Source organism: Homo sapiens, chromosome 15, assembly GCF_000001405.40.
Source record: "Homo sapiens chromosome 15, GRCh38.p14 Primary Assembly".
NCBI classification, from domain to species: Eukaryota; Metazoa; Chordata; class Mammalia; order Primates; family Hominidae; genus Homo; species Homo sapiens.
Genome location: NC_000015.10, coordinates 20,456,142 through 20,475,302, shown reverse-complemented (window position 1 = coordinate 20,475,302; position 19,161 = coordinate 20,456,142). Strand labels below are relative to the sequence as shown.

Here is a 19,161-nt window from a genome sequence, read left to right as displayed (position 1 = left end):
TGACAGGGTGAGACCCTGTCTCTTAAAAAAAAATTCGTATTTGGGGTTAGTAGTAGTACCTACCTCATAGGTTATTATGGGATCAGTACAGTAGGCCAGACAAAGTGCGTATGCTATTATTTTGCATGTAGTAAGTACCAGCATATACTACCTGTTATCCAGAAATTTGCTGAAATGTGCCTTGTATTTTCTCTCTTTCGATTTTGATCAGTCTTTCTAGAAGTCATCAGTTTGAGTTTTTTCAAAGAACCAGTTGTTGGTTTTATTGATTTTGTTTGTTTTCTTTTTCATTGATTTCTGCTTTACTCTTTATTATTTCCTTTTTTCTGCTGGCTTTGGGTTCCATTTGTTCTTCTGTCTCTTCTAGTTTCTTAAGGTAAAGGCTTAGATCATTGACTTCAGATTTTTTGTCTTTTCTAACAAGTGTTCAAAACTATAATATAAATTTCCCTCTAAGCATTGTTTAGCCACATTTCACAAATTTGGAAATGTTTATTCATTTTCATCTTCATTCAGTTGAAAATATTTTCTAATTTCCCTTTTAATTTCTTCTTTTACTCACTTATTATTTGGAAATGTGTTATTTCATTTCCAAATATTTGGGGATTTTCAAATATCTCCTGTTAACAATTTCTAAATTAGTTGTAGTCAGAGAACATATTCTGTGATTTCAATGCTGAGGCTTGTCTGAAGCCCCAGAATATGGTGCATTCTGTGGAATGTTTCATGCACATGTAATAAGAATGTGGCTGGGTGCAGTGGCTCCTGCCTGTAATCTCAACACTTTGGGAGGCTGAGGTGGGTGGATTACTTGAGGTCAGGAGTTCGAGACCAGCCTGGCCAACATAGTGAAACCCTGTCTCTACGAAACATACAAAAATTAGCTGGGTGTGGTGGTGGGTGCCTGTAATCTCGATTGCACCCCTGCACTTTAGTCTGGGTGACAAAGCAAGACTACATCTCAAAAAAAAAAAAAAGTGTATTTTGCTGCTCTGTAAAGCTTAGTGAGATCAAGTTGATAGTGTTCAGGTATCCTTGACTTGAAATAGTTTTCTGCCTGCTTGTTCTAGTCACTGTTAGGAGAGGAGTTGAACTAACACACAAGGTTGGCTTACCACATTAGTTTGACATGAATCTCAGAGATGTTACCCGTAGCTGATTACTTAGTAACTTTAAAGATACAAGTAATATCCTCACTTGTGTGCTCAGGCAAAGTGGGGAGAGATGTGGGAGAGTCTGTGCAACCCCCGCAGGTCCATCCTCTTTGAGCCCGGCCTGCGAGATGAGACCTCTCACTGAGGCGTGTGGTCCTCTCACTGAGGTGTGTCGTCATCTCACTGCACAAGGAGCATTAAGGATGTGCAGTGTTCCCGTTTTGTAGTCAGATAGTTTATACACCTTAGGGAACCTTTTCCAGGGAGCCATGTCCCATAAGTCCATGGATTTTAGGTATGTTTACCAAACACAATCCTAAACTAACCACATCTTGCTAAAAACATTTCATAGATAAGGACACTTCTCCTAGCAAATACCAGTCATTTATTTACAGAGAAGCCAGTCTCAGTGTTCTGGGAGATCAGCCCCAGTGACTGGCTTTATTTCCCAGGAGTATCTCCATTGTGCTGGGGAGGCATGAAGAGCAATTTCACTGCTTAGTTCCTCTTTCTTCTGAGGAGAATTGAAATCTCTCATGCTAATTATGGATTATTTTCTTTCAGCTCTGCAGGTTTTGCTTCATGTATTTGAGAATGTTATAAGGTGCATGCACTTTTAGGATTTTTACGCCATATTCATAAATTTGACCCCCTTAATCTCCGGTGACATTCTTTGTTGTGAAGTCACCTTGGTCTGACTACTCTCCTTTCTTCTGATTTGGTGTTTGCGTGGTGTGTTTGCCAGGTTTAGCTTTTTTCACTTTCAAACTTTGTGTATGTGTAAAGTAGATTTCTTTCAGGTATCATTTAATTAGGTCTTGCTTCTTTATTCACCCTGACAACCTCTGTTTTTTATTTGGAATCTTTAGACTACTTGGGTTTAAATCTATCATCTCTGGCGTTTTCAGTTACATCTTTCACTTGTCACTGCCCACTCTCAAATGGTATTACACTGCCTGAGCCGCGGGGCAGTGCTCTGACTGTAGCTTCCTGCTTCTGACATGTTCTTGGTTGGTAGTGTTGCTGTGTCATGTCCAAGTGAAACATGGTATAAACCCCACAATATGATGTTTTTGTTTTTGCTTTAAATAGGCAATTACATTTTTTCCCCTCAAATTTGAAAAGAGAAAAAAAAGTCTTTTTTTTTTTTGAGACGGAGTTTTGCTGTTGTTGCCCAGACTGGAGTGTAATGGCACAATCTCAGCTCACTGCAACCTCCGCCACCCAGGTTCAAGCGAGTCTCCTGCCTCAGCCTCCCTAGTAGCTGGGATTACAGACACACACCACCGTGCCTGGCTAACGTTTTTGTATTTTTAGTAGAGACAGGGTTTCACTATGTTTGCCAGGTTCGCCTCGAACTCCTGACCTTAGGTGATCCACGTGCCTCAGCCACCCTTAAGTGCTGGGATTATAGGATTATAGGTGTGAGCCACCACACCTGGCCTCTTTTTTTTTTTTTTTTTGAGGCGGAGTTTTGGTCTTGTTGCCCAGGCTGCCAGGATGGAGTGCAATGGCATGATCTTGGCTCACTGCAGCCTCTGCCTCCTGGGTTCAAACGATTCTGGCTCAGCCTCCCGAGTAGCTGGGATTACAGGCATACGCCACCACACCTGGCTAATTTTGTATTTTTGAGTAGAGACATGGTTTCGTCATGTTGGTCAGGCTGGTTTCGAACTCCTGACCTCAGGTGATCCACCCACCTCGGCCTCCCAAAGAGCCACCATGGCTGGCCAAAAAAAAGTTTTTTATGTTAACTTTCATTTTACCATTATGGGCCCTTAAGGTTTTGTTTCTGTCCCAGCTACCTTGTGTTATCATGTTCCTTCAGTTTGAAGATCTCCCTTTACCATTTCTAGATTTTCTGACAGAGAAGTTTTTCAGTCTGTCTGGGTATCAATTTTGGCTTTATCTCTGACTCTACACAAATCACTTTGTCTCACCTTGGGCCTCTCATGTATAAAACAGGAATAAGTGGCCGGGTGCAGAGGCTCATGCCTGTAATCTCAGCACTTTGGGAGGCTGAGACGGGCGGATCATGAGGTCAGGAGATCGAGACCATCCTGGCTAACGTGGTGAAACCCTGTCTCTACTAAAGATACAAAAAAATTAGCTGGGCGTGGTGGTGGGCACCTGTAGTCCCAGCTACTCGGGAAGCTCAGGCAGGAGAATGGCATGAACCCAGGAGGCGGAGCTTGCAGTGAGCCAAGATTGCACCACCACTCTAGCCTGGGTGACAGGGTGAGACTCCATCTCAAAACAAAAAAAACAAACAAAAAAAAGGAATAAGTATAATATAATGTAAATAATTAAAATTATATATAAAATAAGTGAAAGTACTTACTCAGAGAGTTGCTGTGCAAATGACATGAAATAATGCATTTGAAGCTCTTAAGTCAGTGCCTGGCACAAATGTTTGATAAAGATTTGTTGTGATTTTAAAAATCTGTTATTTTGCCTTTCTCCATGTTTCCCCTCACCTAGGTATCAAAGTACCTACAGTTATGGGTGGGTAACTAGACTAAAAATGTACCTTTCTTGCTCAGATTAAAGCCCGGCTTATTGACTCAGGGCAGCTTTAATCGGTTTATTTGGAAGCTCTGCTTGTTCACAGGTACAGAGCTTTTGCAGAACCGACTCTGTACCTGGCAGCCTTGAAGGGGCTTGGATTCAAAGCATATTCTTGAGCCACGCCATCTTTAATCAAACTGCAGGTGGAATTTGTAGCTGTTAGAATAGCTCCTATTCCTTTCATTTCTTTTTCTGTTTTTTTACTCTTCCATCTCAGCCTAAAAAGAAAAACACGTTAATTTGAGCCATAGGAATTTAGAATTTGTTTTGTCTTTTGCTTAGATATGTTTGACTAAAGCTTCCTTTTTCACAGGTTTATTTTTTCCAACATTTTATTATGAAAAAAATATATACAGAAAAGTTGAAAGAATTTTACAGCGCGCACCCACATATTCACCACCTAAGATTGTGCCGCTGGCATCATCCCACGTGCTTTATCACCGTTCTCTCCACCTTTTCATCCTTCTATTCATCCATCAGTCCCTCACATTTTTTTTGCAATGTTTCCAAGGAGACCTCTGGACACTTGCTTCTCAACATTGCAGCGTGTAGGCCCTCAGCAGGAGTTCAGAAGTGCACATTTCACAGTGAACCTTCTGAGAGTGTTGACAGATCACAGCTTTTCTTTTTGTCTAATGAAAAGGGCTTGCTGGCCATTGGGTGTTGTAATCTCTTAGGAGAGTAAACTCTTAGTAACTATCTAAATCATTCTTAATGATTCTCTCTGCTGTATAAATAGGTCTGGGAGGACCCTTTCTGACATTCTTGTTGGCATAGGTTTTAGCTTAAGGTGTTGTAAATGCTGTTTATCAAGATGATGAAGTTCCCATTTGTTGCTATTTTCTGAGAATTTTTATCATTCACGAGTATTGAATTTTGTCATTTGCTTTTTCTAAATCAATTGATATGTAATTATGTGATTTTTGTTCTTTAGTCTATTAATAGGGTGGGTTACATTGATATTTGACTGTTGAACCAGCTTTGCATTCCTGGAATGAAACTACTTGGCGATGATGTGGAATTCTTTTTATATATTGTTTACTTCTACTTGCTAATAATTCACTGAATATTTTTGTGTCTATATATATATTAAGGTATATTGTTCTGTAGTTTGTACTGTCTTTAGGTACGGTACCTAATATTAGCTTCTTAAAATGCTAATATTAGCTCTAATATTAGCTTCTTAAAATGCTAATATTAGCTCTAATATTAGCTTCTTAATATGAATTGGGAAGTTTTTCCTTTTCTAGTTTCCAGAAGAGATTGTTTTGAGTCTGTGTTAATTCTTTTTTAATGTTTGATGGAATTATCCAGTGAGTTCATTTGGATCTGGTAATTTCTTTTTTTTTTTGGGATTCTTTGAATTATGAATTCAGTTTTCTTGATAGTGGTAGAGCTATTCAAATGATCTATTTTATATTTGGTGAGTTGTGGTAATTTGCATTATTTGAGGAATAAGTCTATTTTGCCCAAGTTGTCAAAGTTATGTGTGTAGAGTTGTTCCTAGTAATTCCTAATTATCTTTTTTCATATCTTTAGAGCCTGTTTCATCACTAATGTTGGGTAATTTATGTCTTTTTTTTTTTTTTCAGTCTTGCTTAGAGAGGTGTGTCAGTTTTATTGATCTTTTCAAAGAACCAGCTTTTTGCTTTACTGTTTATTGTTTTTCTGTTTTCACTTTGTTTCTACTCTTACCTTAATTATTTCTTCCTTTCTGCTTACTTTTGGGTTGATTTTGCTATTTTTAATTTTCTTTTAGGTTGTCAACGTGGGCACTTATATTATTGATTTGTTTCCAAGTTTCTAATGTACCATTCATTTAGTGCTGTAAATTTGTCTCTCGTCACCCACTGTAGCTCTTTCCCATACATTTTGATGTATTGTACTTGCATTTTCTCTCAGTTCACAATATATTTTAAAATTTCCCTTGAGACTTTCTCTTTGATCCATGGGTTATGTAAAAGTTTATTGTTTAGTTTCTGAGAGTTAGGCAATTTTCCTGTAATTGTTCTCTTGTTGACTTCAGATTTGTTCCCATTGTTTGAGGGAACATATGCTGTGTGATTTTAATTTCAAAAAATTTGTTAGGTTTGTTTTATGCCTCAGAATATGTTCTAACTTAGTATTTGTTTTGTGGATACTTGAAAAGATTATGTATTCTGTTATTATTGGCTGGAGTGTTCTATAAATTTTGATTGGCTCTAGTTGATGGATGGTGATGTTGCGTTCTATATCCTGGCAGCTTTTCTGTCTCCTAATTTTATCAGCTGTAGAGAGAGATTTTGAGGTCTCCAACTATAAAAGTATAAATGTCTTTTTCTCCTTTCGGTTCTATTCATTGTTTTTTTGTTTGTTTGGTGTCTGCACGTTTCGAATTGCTGTGTCTTAATGGTGGATTGACCAAGTTCTCATTTTGTAATGTTGCCGTTGGTTCCTGGTAATTATCTTTTTTTTTTTTTTGAGACGGAGTTTCGCTCCTTTTGCCCAGGCAGGAGTGAAGTGGCATGATCTCAGCTCACTGCAACTTCCGACCCTACCAGGTTCAAGTGATTCTCCTGCCTCAGCCTCCTGAGAAGCTGGGATTATAGGCTTCTGCCATCACACCCAGCTAATTTTTGTATTTTTAGTAGAGATGGGGTTTTGCCATATTGGCCAGGCTGGTCTCAAACTCCTGAGATCCACCCACCTTGGCCTCCCAAAGTGCTAGGAGTACAGGCGTGAGCCACTGTGCCCGGCCCTCCTGGTAATTATCTTTGTTCTGAAGTTTACTTTATTTGATATAAATATAGCCAACTCCTGCTGTCCTTTCAGTAATGTTTGCATGATCTTTTTTTTTCTATACTTCTATTTTCAGTTTGCCTGTTTGAAGTCACTTTCTTATGGACAACATATAGTTGGATCATGTTCTCTAGTCTACTCTCCTAGTGTCTTTTAATTGATGTATTTAGATTGTTTACATTTAATTTAATGTCATTGATAAATTGAGGCTTAACACTGCCATTTTGTTTTGCATTTTCTATTTCTTCTGTTTTTCATTTTTTCGGTTTGGTTCTTCCTGGCTCTCTGTGGTTTACTTGACCATTTTTAGCATTCTATTTCATCTGTAGTGTTTTAGAGTGTATCTTTTTGTATAGCTTTTTTAGTGGCTTTTCTAGGTAATATATTACATACAGATTGAGCATCTGTAAACCCAAAATCCAAAATCTGAAATGCCCCAAAATTCGAAACTTTATGGCACTCCAGCATGACGCCCCCAAATTGAAAATTCCATTCATAAGTACTTAGCATGAACTTTGTTTCATGCACAAAATTACTAAGCATGCTATATAAAATTACCTTCAGGCTCTGTGTATAAGTTATATATAAAACATAAATGAATGTATTTAGACTTGGGTCCTATCCCCAAAATATCTCATTATTTATATGCAGATATTCCTAAATCTGATAAAAATCTGAAATTTGGAACACTTGTGCTCCTGAGCATTTTATAAGGGACACTCAGCCTGTGTATGTATGAACACTTATCAGATTTTACCTGATGTTGTCATTTACCAGCTTCAGGGATATAGAAACTACCTCCCTTGATGTTCCTTTATGTTCTTCTGTTCATAATATACTTGCCTTAAATATTTCATTTACTTACATTGATAACCACATATGACAATGTTATAATTTTTGGTTGAACCTTCAGACATAATTTAGCAAAGTCAAGAGGTGAGGGAAAAGTCTATTGTATTTATGCGTTGGTGTGCTTGTCATCTCCTCCTTCCAGAAGTTCCAGGGTTTTCTTCTTTGATGGTTGCCATTCTGCTTAGAGAACTTCCATTAGCCTTTCTTTTGGTGTGGGTCTTCTGGTGACAAATTCTGTTTCACTTCCTCTGAGAATGTTTTGCTTTCCTTTTCATTCCTGAAGGACATTTTTGCTGGATATAAGAATTCTGGGTTAATGGTTCTTTTCATCGCTTGAAAAATATTTTGTACTTTCAGCTGGGCTCCATGGTTTCTGATGAGAAATTCGCTGTCATTTGACTTGTTAATCTACGATAGTTAAGGCACTGTTTTTGTTTAGTGGCTTTTGAAATGTTTTGTCTTTTGTTTTTTGGAGTTTGATTATTATATGTCTTAGTTTGGATTTCTTTGGGTTCATCCTGTTTAGGGTTTGCTTACCTTAGATCTGTAGATTTATGTCTCTTGCCAAATTTGGGAACTTGTAAGCCATCACTTCATAGAGTACAGTTTCAGCCCCACCTTCTTTCTCCTGTCCCTTCGTGAGTTCAGTGACCGGAGTTGTTATAGTCCCATAGGTCCCCGAGACTGTTTTTTTGTTTGTTTGTTTGTTTTGCGGGTACATTGCTTTCTTTCTCCCTTCCCGTCCCGTCCTATCCCATCCCGTCCTGTCCTATCCCGTCCCATCCCGTCCCTTCCCGTCTTCGGAGTCTCTGCCTGTTTCCCAGGCTGGAGTGCAGTGCACGTTCTCGGCTCACTGCAACTGCCGCCTCCCTAGTTCGAATGATTCTCCTGTCTGAGCCTCTCGAGTAGCTGGGATTATAGGTACCCGCCACCATGCCCAGCTCAGTTTTATATTTTTAATAGAGATGAGGTTTCACCATGTTGGCCAGGGTGGTCTCAAAGTCCTAACCTTGTGATCTGCCTGCCTCGGCCTCCCAAAGTGCTGGGATTACAGATGTGAGCCACCATGCCCAGCCTATTATTTGGCAGTCTTTAAACTAATGATAATAGGGGTCTTCTGCCTTTAGAAGAATTAGAACTGTGATTTAATTTGCAAATGAAAGTAGGTGTTCTCCAGAGTGGGCAACATTTAGATTAAAATAAAGGTTTTGGTTTTAGATTTCAAGGCCAGCTTGAGATGCTGTGCTGGGTTCCCACAGAGGTGGTTCTGCCTTTCTCCAGGGGTCCTAGGCTTGTAGAGTGGTTTGGTCATGTTAGTAATCTGTGTGGATTCAACTTACCTATGGTATCATAAATGTATACATGCACAGTCAATGTTGTGTACATGTATACAGCAGATTTAGAGATTTATACAGTTTATATGCTGCATAAATATATAGACGTATAGTATAACTGTATCATCAACATTGTCATTTGATGGGTCAAATGAGTCAATACCAAAATATAAAGCGTGGGTAAAAAACTGTGTTACTTTAGTTTTTCCCACCATTTCTGAATTTTTGTTTACTTTTCCTTTCTAGCTTTTGTCTGGTCCTCTGAGCCCCAGTGAGAGTTTCCTGAGGTACCTCACCCTTCCACAAGACAACAGGCTTGCCATTGATCTGCAACAAACGGCGGTTGTTGTCATGGCCCATTTAGACCGTCTGGCTACACCCTGTAGATGCCTCCTCTGTGTAGCTCTCCGACGTCTCATAAGGTGTGTGCAAGAACCGTGTTCTCCATGTGTTTTGTAGCTAGTACCACTTGTAGGTTCTCATCCTGGGCCCGTGTGGAGACTTGTTTTTTCTGGTATTGGTAGGGGGAGCTGGCCTGTGGTTTTTAAACGTGTTTGCAGTTGAAGGTGTTATCCGTGTTGAGAGTGAGTGATGAGCAAGCTGAGGCGCACAGGCCTGGCGACCCAACCTGGGGGCCCGGGTTCCAGGTTCAGGTGGCACAGCCCCAGAGAGCTCCCCTTTATCCACAGCCCCAGGCCCTCCCACCTTCTGCAGGGGGTTCCACAGCCTTCTTCATACTCTGAACGCAGGCTGTCTTAGTATGTCATGCTGGTTATAGTAGTGACAGTATAATTATGTATTATATCTCTTATGTAATAGTAATGGTAGTGATTTGCATGTGTGGAGCACCTGTAGGGTGCAGGCCCGCTGAGGACCTCATGCACGCTGTTGTATCTCATTATGTCAATGAGAAAACTGCCTTTGGGAATGGTAGTGAACTTTGCCAGTGCAGAACAGTAATCCTAGTTTTGAATCCAGATTTTTCTAACATTTTATTTCTAGTATAAAGAGTATTTATTTTGTTTTACAGTCATTAAAAAAAAAAATACAGTCACATGGTTCAAAAATCAAACCTAGGCAGAGACACACTGTCGCTTCCCCTGCCCACCCCTTCCACCCATTTTCCCACCTGCTCCCTCTGACTTTCCAGTCTCCTCTGTAACCTCCTTGTTCTCTGGCATGAGTACGTTCATGGTAGCATGCTTCATTACTTGTGTTGCTTGTTTTTTGTTTTTTTTTTTAACTAACCATATATACTGGAGTACCTTATCAGAGTGTCCCTCTTTGTTTTTATAAATCAGCTTAGTCTTCAGTGTGTGGATGTGTCTTTTATCTATCTTTCTTTAGTGAGTCTCTTATTGGTGGACACTTGGGCTTATTGCCACAATGTTGCTATACAAATAGTGCTGAGGGTCGGGTGTAGTGGCTCACGCCTGTAATCCCAGCACTTTGGGAGGTCGAGGTGGGTGGATCACCTGAGGTTGGGAGTTTGAGATCAGCCTGGCCAACTTGGAGAAACCCCGTCTCTACTAAAAAATACAAAAATTAGCGGGGCGTGGTGACGGGTGCCTGTAATCCCAGCTACTTGGGAGGCTGAGGCAGGAGAATCGCTTGAACCTGGGAGGCAGAGGTTGCAGTGAGCCGAGATCGCGCCACTGCACTCCAGGCTGGGCAACAAGAGTGAAACTCCATCTCAAACAACAACAACAGAAAACACAAATAGTACTGCAAGGCCTGGCCTGGAACACGTGTCCTCCATGTGTGCACGCGTGTGTGCCTGTGCACATGCACAGGTGGGGATGGACCTCGTGTGGGCTGGTTGTCACCAGATTGCTCCTGTACATCTTGATTTCTCTCACCACCAATAGGGATGCTGGTCTCCCAGCCTTGTGTGTGGGCTTTTGGGATTTTGCCTGCTAAAGCACAAAGTGGTGACCCCGACATAGTTTGAGCATTTTAAAATATATTAGTATTTAAGGGCCATTTATACTACTTTTTAATGGGCTCTGTTGAAATGCAATGGAAATGGAAAAATAGCCTGTTCAGTTGCTTCATCATACCTGTTAAATGCAGTAATATGGCATGGTACGAGATGGGGTTTCACTGTGTTAGCCAGGATGGTCTCGATCTCCTGACTTCATGATCTGCCCGCCTCGGCCTCCCAAAGTGCTGGGATTATAGGCATGAGCCACCGCGCCCGGCTGATTGGATTATTTTAAAGCATAACTCTGTCTTTAAAACATTTTAAGGTATTTTACCTCTTAATGATAAGGATTTTAAAAAAACCCTACAATATCATTATCCTGTCTATAAGATTAACAGTGATTCCTTAATCTAACATGCAGTCCATGTTACATTTTCCTGGACTATCTCAAAAATGCCTTTTTTAGGTGGTAATTTTGAATTAAGACCTGAGCATGTTCTGCGTATTGGCATTGCTTGACATATGCTTCTAGTCTCTTTCCCCAAACAACATGGCTCCAGGCCCTCTTCTCCCTGTCTCTGATCATACCGTTTTCTTTTTCAAAGAAGCAGGTTGGTTATTTTGGAGAACTTCACATTTTCTGAACTTGGTTGATTGCATTCTCTTATTCTAGACCAACATGTTCTTCTGTTAGTTACATTAATCTGCTGGTTAGATCTAGAGGTTTGGTTGGATTTGAATTCAGTCTCGTTGGGGCGGTGTTATGTCTGGGGTCATGCTGCATGCTTTCTGTTGGCTCAGGAGGCCTGTAATGCTCGGTGGCTCCCCGCTTTAGTTCTGTGAAGCTAGACCAGGGAATTCATGTGTTGCGTATCCTCTATAAAATCCCCTACCAACCTTGCCCTCTGCTGTCTGGTTAGCAGGAGGTACAATTTGTACAGCAAGGACATAATCTAAGCTTGACTTCTTGAACTGCCACCTCCCTTTAACTATTTTTCATAATATTGAGTTGGTATCCTAGCACTTGCATAGGTGACCACCACTCAGGTTTTCTTTTTTTTGAGTATTTTTATGAACTAACAGACTTTTATTGATTTGGTGTTTCTTTTCTTTTTTAGCTTTTTCCCCCTTTAATGTGTAAATATATACATTTAAAGGCATAAATGCCCTCAAGCATGCATTTAGTTGTATGTCACCAATTTCGATCTGCAGTATTTTGATTATTAACTGAACACATTTTCTAATTTTCATAGTCATTTTTTCTTAGAATTTTGGGTTACTTATAAGTGTATCTTGTAATTTTCAAATATGTGGATGAATATTTTTATTTTCTGTGTATACAGAGTCATTTTTATTTTATTTTGAATGAATTTTTGAAAACCTATTTGTAATTTAACTGCATTGTAGTCAGCACACATGCTCTGTAAGTTTATTTCTTTGAAATCTGTTGAGATTTACTCTATGGCCTGGCATGGCCCGATTTGGTATTCATGCTGCCTAGACTTTTTTTTAAAGCATTCTATATTTAACAGAATTTGTATGTGTGGTATTAGTTTCAGAGCTAGGTATGTATTTCTCCCATTGTGATTGTGGATTTGTTTATTTCTGCTTGTAGTTCTTTCACACAGTTTGTTCTTTTCATTTTACCTGTTGATTGATCAATGGACTGATTCTGGTTTCTGTATATACAGAGTCATTTTTTACAGGTCAGAACTGTAGAAATAATGAGAAAGTGACACTTGTACGCATAGCTGATTTGGAGAACCATAATAACGATGGAGGCTTCTGGACTGTGATTGACGGGAAAGTGTATGATATAAAGGACTTCCAGACACAGTCGTTAACAGAAAATAGTATTCTTGGTAAGATTACACTTGTTATTTCCTGGTTAAAAGTTACAGCCTGTATCATTTTAAGCAGAGTATTTGGCTTATAAATGATTCCTTTAGTTTTGTGCCAGCCCCCGCATATTTTAATGTATCTGTGGCTTTGGTGTCTGTCTTATCAACAAATTCAGCACATTCGAAGAATTTCCTTTCATTATGTATCTTTTGTTTTAATACTTGGAACTCATTTCAAGTTCCGAGTTGGCCCAGGCAACCCTGGGAGACAGTGGGAGGTCATTATATTCTGGTAACCCTCACTTTTGAGTTAAGAGCCTAACTTATTTCCTACTCACTATTTCTCCTGTAGCTCTTCAGGCAAGCTGAATTGAACTCATGTTGCTTTTTCCCTTTTTGTTTCAGCTCAGTTTGCAGGGGAAGACCCAGTGGTAGCTTTGGAAGCTGCTTTGCAGTTTGAAGACACCCGGGAATCCATGCACGCATTTTGTGTTGGCCAGTATTTGGAGGTGAGGCTGTATGCCTTGAGTGATGCAGAGGATGGCAGGGGATACCCTCTGTGTGTTTGTGATAGGAATATTTGGATCTAGAAGTACTGATATCTGGGTCTTTTGCGGGGCATTAGGGATAAATATAAAGATCCTTTAGAAGTTTTGTCATAAATGAATTTACATTTATTCATGTTAAGATCTGTGATGTACTGGTCTTGAAAGATTGTTTTTTAAATGATCAATTTGTGAGAAATATAGGCAGTGTTCCACAAGAAAAGAGGTTAAACTTTGGTCTTATGTAGAAATTTGGAATGGCTTATAATCTTGAGGTATGTATTTTTTGGGAAGAACTATGTAGAAGTGTAATTCTTTACAATAGAAATATGTCCTTCCTATGTATTCACGAACACATAGAATTTATATATTGGGATTAGCTTACTAGGTATCGACAAGTAATAAGATGTATTAAATGCCATTAGGGCAGGGCTTAAAACAGTTTATGAAGGGGAGAATTAACTTTGCTGTAAATATCTTCTGTGACTGAAAAAGTTGAACTCTTGCTTTTTTCAGAGTTTGATTTTTGTTAGAATAAATTTCATTTCCTCTACATGTGTGGTCACAGTCCACTAATACTTGTCATCGAATACTTGTCATAGTTTTGTTGCCCAGTGGGTTCTTTATGCATGTAACAATTCATTATACTTTCTGAAGCATGGTGTACAGTCACTTTGGAAACTGATTCCTAAGGAATATTCTAGCCAAATCATGTATCTGTGGTTTAGTTTTTCTACAGTAGGGCTGTGCGGTTGCTGCCTGCTTTATAGGGCATGTGGGTTTATATGGTATCTGCTGTTACTTGGGCACAGCAGCACCAACTCATTACAGGATGGAGGGGCAGAACGCCCAGAGCACCCCTGGGCTCACGTGCGGTACAGCTGCAGGAGAGAGCTGTCCTTTTGGTTTTATGTTTTTAATTAATTCTGTTTCCTCAGATTGATGATTAAATTTATTTTTCCAGCCTGACCAAGAAGGCGTCACCATACCAGATCTGGGGAGTCTCTCCTCACCTCTGATAGACACAGAGAGGAATCTGGGCCTGCTTCTCGGATTACACGCTTCCTATTTAGCAATGAGCACACCGCTGTCTCCTGTCGAGATTGAATGTGCCAGTAAGAAAATCTTTACTTTTTGCTAATTAGCAGATTTTTTTTTTTTTGAACTGTAAGTGCCATTAAGAGTGGGAGAGGGCCAGGCACAGTGGTTCATGCCTGTAATCCCAGCACTTTGGGAGGTTGTGGCACGTGGATTGCTTGAGATCAAGATTTTGAGACCAGCCTGGGCAACATGGCAAAACCCCATCTCTACAAAAAACACAAAAATTAGCCAGGCATGTTGGCACGTATTTGTAGTCCCAGATACTCAGGAGGCTGAGGTAGGAGGATTGCTTGAGCCTGGGAGGTTGAGGCTGCAGTGAGTCATGATCATACCACTGCACTCCAGCCTGGGTGACAGAGCAAGACTCTCTTTAAAAAAGCAGGAGATGGCCAGGCAGTGGCTCATGCCTGTAATCCCAGCACTTTGGGAGGCTGCGGCGGGTGGATCACCTGAGGTCAGGAGTTCAAGACCAGCCTGGCCAATGTGGTGAAACCCCATGTCTACTAAAAATGCAAAAATTAGCTGGGTGTGGTGACGGGTGCCTGTAATCCTAGGTACTCGGGAGGCTGAGGTAGGAGAATTGCTTGAACCCAGGAGACGGAGGTTGCAGTGAGCTGAGATCACGCCACTGCACTCCAGCCTGGGTGACAAGAGCGAGACTCGGTCTCAAAAAAAAAAAGGAGAGGAGGATTCAACACAGTTGATGATGACAAAAAAAAAAATAATAAGGATAGTGAGACTCAATCAGGTAGAAACAGCTGTGAGTGGTTGTCATTTGCCCTCATGGTCTGTTGCTGCAGAGGAAGCTAAAAAGTGTGCAGGAATGTCTACCCGTCTGCCCTTGGTGGTCTCACGTATTGCAGCCTCTGCCTGATGGGCCCAGCATGGCTTTTGTCTCCCTGCATGCCCAGAAATTGCACAGAATGTGGATCAGCTGTCCTCTCAGGGAAGAGCATACTATTTGAGCACTGCGTTTTTACCAGACCAGGCTCAAGTCAGTTATATTTCAGGATGGCAGCCTTTGTAACCACCTAAAATAATAAGCTTCTTTCTGTCTCCTAAGATGTGTTTCCATTTTCCTTCATGTAGTTGTGCATTTCCCATCTGTCTGTCTGTCCATCCATGTGAGCAGCTTCTGTTGAGCATTTGCCTGGTGCCGTTACCATACGAGGTGTTCAGGATACAGTGATAGATAGGACACACCTCTGCTTTCTGGTGCCGTTACCATGCGAGGTGTTCAGGATGCAGTGATGGGTAGGACACGCCTCTGCTTTCAGCTGCTGCTTGTTGATGAGCCACCATTCTAAGCAGGTCACATTACAAGGTGGTGAATGGTGAAATGGAGATGTTCATACATGGTTCTGGGAGAAGAAAGGCTTCACATTGGCAGCAGTCCTGAAATTGCGTGAGAGAGCATTCTGGGCAGAAAACACAGGAGTGTCAAGGGCACTGCTGAGAGGAGCAGGGCTTTCCTGCTGCTTGCAGGAGTGGGTGTGGCAGAGGCTTGCAGGGAAGGAGGATCTTGGTGTCCATACAGCCCCCCGTTGGGCGGACCTTTGTGCAGTGCTAGGTGCTGGGCTGCCTGTGGTGCCCTCTGAGGTGTCTGCTTCCTTCCCTCCTCCTCAAGGCTCATTGCTTGCCAGAAGATGGGCTTTGTTTAAATTGGCAAGGAGGGCAGGGCTGGCGAACTCCAGGGCAGAGGGTGCCATGGGCCCTGGCAGGTGGGTCCGATCCACAGGAGGATCAGAGGCTTATCTTGGAGCAGTAAGGAGGGGCTGTCCTGTGCTTAAAGAGAGGGGGCCAGAGAGAGTCGGCATTGGATTAGTGTTTCAGAAGAACGAATGTGGTGTGTTGGGGAATGCTCCTGAGTGCTCTAAAATCTAAATGTCCAGTAAAAGAACACTAAGTGCATCCCGCTTTGATTGCTTGGATTTGGAGCAGTATTTGATAACACAGATCGTTAATAGAGATCTGTAGTGGTGCACTCCCTCAAGTTGCCATAAGCAGTTGTAATTAACATTCGCACTGGTTGATCCCATGCCTTGCACCACGCACAGGTCTCCTTTCCAGTCCATCGGCCCTCCCATCTCCAAGGATCTATCCTTCATTACAGATTGTGTGTTTCTTAAATATTTTCTCCTTTTCATTCCTTTATAAGTGCTCTAGGAATACATAGCCTACCCTGAGGATGTAATTCTTTGTAGAAACCCTTCAGATGTGCTGTTCCCTGCCTGGATACTCAGCGTCTGGGTCTTATTCCTCATCTTAGCTCAGTTGTTGCTTCCACAAGTCCCTCACTGACCCTCAGAATAGCGGTGGTCTGTCTTCCAGTCTCCCTGGTACCCCCATAGTCATCTGTTGCACAGTTTTGGACTTGAAATCCTGTGATTAATTGTGTCAGCGGTGCCCTTTGCTGCCTTCCCTGTTAGAATGTGCACCTCAGTCTTCACACGGTACCTGTGGAACCAGGCAGCTGCAGGCAGAGCACAGGTATCCAGAGAATGTTGGACTGGAACTACGATCCTGAGTTCTGATGCCATGCCTGAGGCGTGTGGAATCACCAGAAAGTGTGTTCACGTAGATAGAGGAATTATAAGTCAACCTGTGTAAACATGTTAGGTGGAGCTCTTTCATATGAATGATGCTGAATTTCACCTTCTAAATTGAGTGTTCAGTTGAGCATCTTTTTTTTTTTTTAGTATTTATTTTGAGTTGTGCACTTGAGTTTCTCTTTCATGTTTGCGTGTGCATTTTCTAGAATGGCTTCAGTCATCCATCTTCTCTGGAGGCCTGCAGACCAGCCAGATCCACTACAGCTACAACGAGGAGAAAGACGAGGACCACTGCAGCTCCCCAGGGGGCACACCTGCCAGCAAATCTCGACTCTGCTCCCACAGACGGGCCCTGGGGGACCATTCCCAGGCATTTCTGCAAGCCATTGCAGACAACAACATTCAGGATCACAACGTGAAGGTGAGCTAGGCCTGCCCCCACTGCCACCTCAGTGCTCTGTTTATCTGAGGACTTTGACATAGGAATACTTATGTGCTCTTTGGTTAACACAGCACAGACTTTGTTTCATGTATTATTTGGAGGGTTTTGAGGTGAGAACCTGATTGTGTTAACATGCTAGCGAGGCTTCAGAAGCATTAGTGATTGCAAGTGTGTCAGAAGCTGTGGCATGTTTAAGATTTGTGAAGACTCACTGGGTTTCCCTGAAGTTACTTCCAGCTGTTCCTGTTGCAGGACTTTTTGTGTCAAATAGAAAGGTACTGTAGGCAGTGCCATTTGACCACACCGATCATGTTTCCCCCCGAGCATCCCGTGGAAGAGGTCGGTCGCTTGCTGTTATGTTGCCTCTTAAAACATGAAGATTTAGGTAAGGAGCTCAATATCTTTGTACTTTAGCTACACTGCGATTCCTCGACTAACCTGTGGTACGTATTCATTCCTTCACTGCCCTTCTTTTAAATGTCTTTTTACAGGTCATGTGGCATTATCTTTAGTTCATGCAGGTGCACTTGGTATTGAGCAAGTAAAGCACAGAACGTTGCCTAAGTCAGTGGTGGATGTTTGTAGAGTTGTCTACCAAGCAAAATGTTCGCTCATTAAGGTGATAGATTTTAATTCTTTTTATTCTGTGCTTTGCAGACAGTTGCTGAAATATTTGTTGTTAAAGTTGTCTTTTCCTGGTTAACTTTGCAGACTCATCAAGAACAGGGCCGTTCTTACAAGGAGGTCTGCGCTCCTGTCATCGAACGTTTGAGATTCCTCTTTAATGAATTGAGACCTGCTGTTTGTAATGACCTCTCTATAATGTCTAAGTTTAAATTGTTAAGTTCTTTGCCCCATTGGAGGAGGATAGCTCAGAAGATAATTCGAGAACCAAGGAAAAAGAGAGGTAAGAATGTAAAAGGACAGAAGATACTATTAAAGCTTGTGCTTCACCCTGCCACGTTGGATCTGTGATTTCAGAGTGAAGTTTCTCTACTGTTGATTCCATGTAACATTTCTACCTGCTGCCATCATTTTTATTATAGTTAGGATTAAATACAGACATCTCGCTTATTTTTCCAAATGATCAGACAATGAGGCAGTTTAGGAATTGAGTGTGGTATGATTTGATTACTAGTAAATTGATGTTGAAAACGTAAATAATCTTTGCTAAATTGATGGGAACAAGGAAGTACTTTTATTAGTTATCCTGGTAATGAGATATAATGGGAACATTTAAACTTATTGCCATTCTTCTAAAGAAATGTTTTTTGTTTGGAAATATTGAGTATTCTGATACATGAAGAACTATAAAGGGAAGCTAAAAGAGTTACTGACATTTTCCTGGAAGTAGCTGTGTAAGGGTACAGAAAAGTCTTTTTGCATTAAATCCAAATTTGAATAAAAATGCTTAGAAATTATAAAATAGTTTAGAATTTAGTCACTTGTGATTATAAATAAACTACAGAAATTTCTGATTATATCCTTTTTTTTTTTTCTTTGAGATGGAGTCTTGGTCTGTTGCCAGGCTGGAGTGCAGTGGTGCGATCTCAGCTCACTGCAACCTCCGCCTCCCAGGTTCAAACGATTCCCCTGCCTCAGCCTTCCAAGTAGCTGGGATTACAGGCACGCGCCACCACTCCTGGCTAATTTTTATATTTTAGTAGAGACGGAGTTTCACCATGTTGGCCAAGATGGTCTTGATCTCCTGACCTCGTGATCTGCCTGCCTCGGCCTCCCAAAGTGCTGGGATTACGGGCGTGAGCCACCGCGCCTGGCCTCTGATCATATTATGACTTATACTGATTTACTCACAAACCTGCTTATTGAACAGTATTGATTACTGACTTTCTGATGGGCATTTTGAACAATAAGCTTATGAAAGACTAAAGTGTGTTAGAAGCCATCCTAATTTGATTGTTCCTGAACAAACCCTACACCATAACAGCCTGTCTGAATGCGAGGGGTGCTCTGGATCAGGAAGTCACAGCAGTCACACTGCTGCGATTCCTTTAACCCAGGCATGCAGGAACTCAGCCTGGGCCCAGGAGACAGGCTGCCTCGGAATGA

At 41.2% G+C, this 19,161-nt stretch overlaps 1 pseudogene across 1 annotated transcript in view; it reads left to right on the top strand.

Annotated features, from left to right (window-relative positions):
- Positions 1-19,161, top strand: part of HERC2P3 (HERC2 pseudogene 3) — a 97,785-nt pseudogene that overhangs the window by 30,878 nt on the left and 47,746 nt on the right. The window contains exons 3-10 of the transcript NR_036432.1: positions 8,933-9,108; positions 12,302-12,472; positions 12,857-12,960; positions 13,961-14,111; positions 16,856-17,070; positions 17,344-17,476; positions 17,583-17,710; positions 17,803-17,998. The product of NR_036432.1 is annotated as an HERC2 pseudogene 3 (transcript). The remainder of the gene's footprint in view (positions 1-8,932; positions 9,109-12,301; positions 12,473-12,856; positions 12,961-13,960; positions 14,112-16,855; positions 17,071-17,343; positions 17,477-17,582; positions 17,711-17,802; positions 17,999-19,161) is intronic.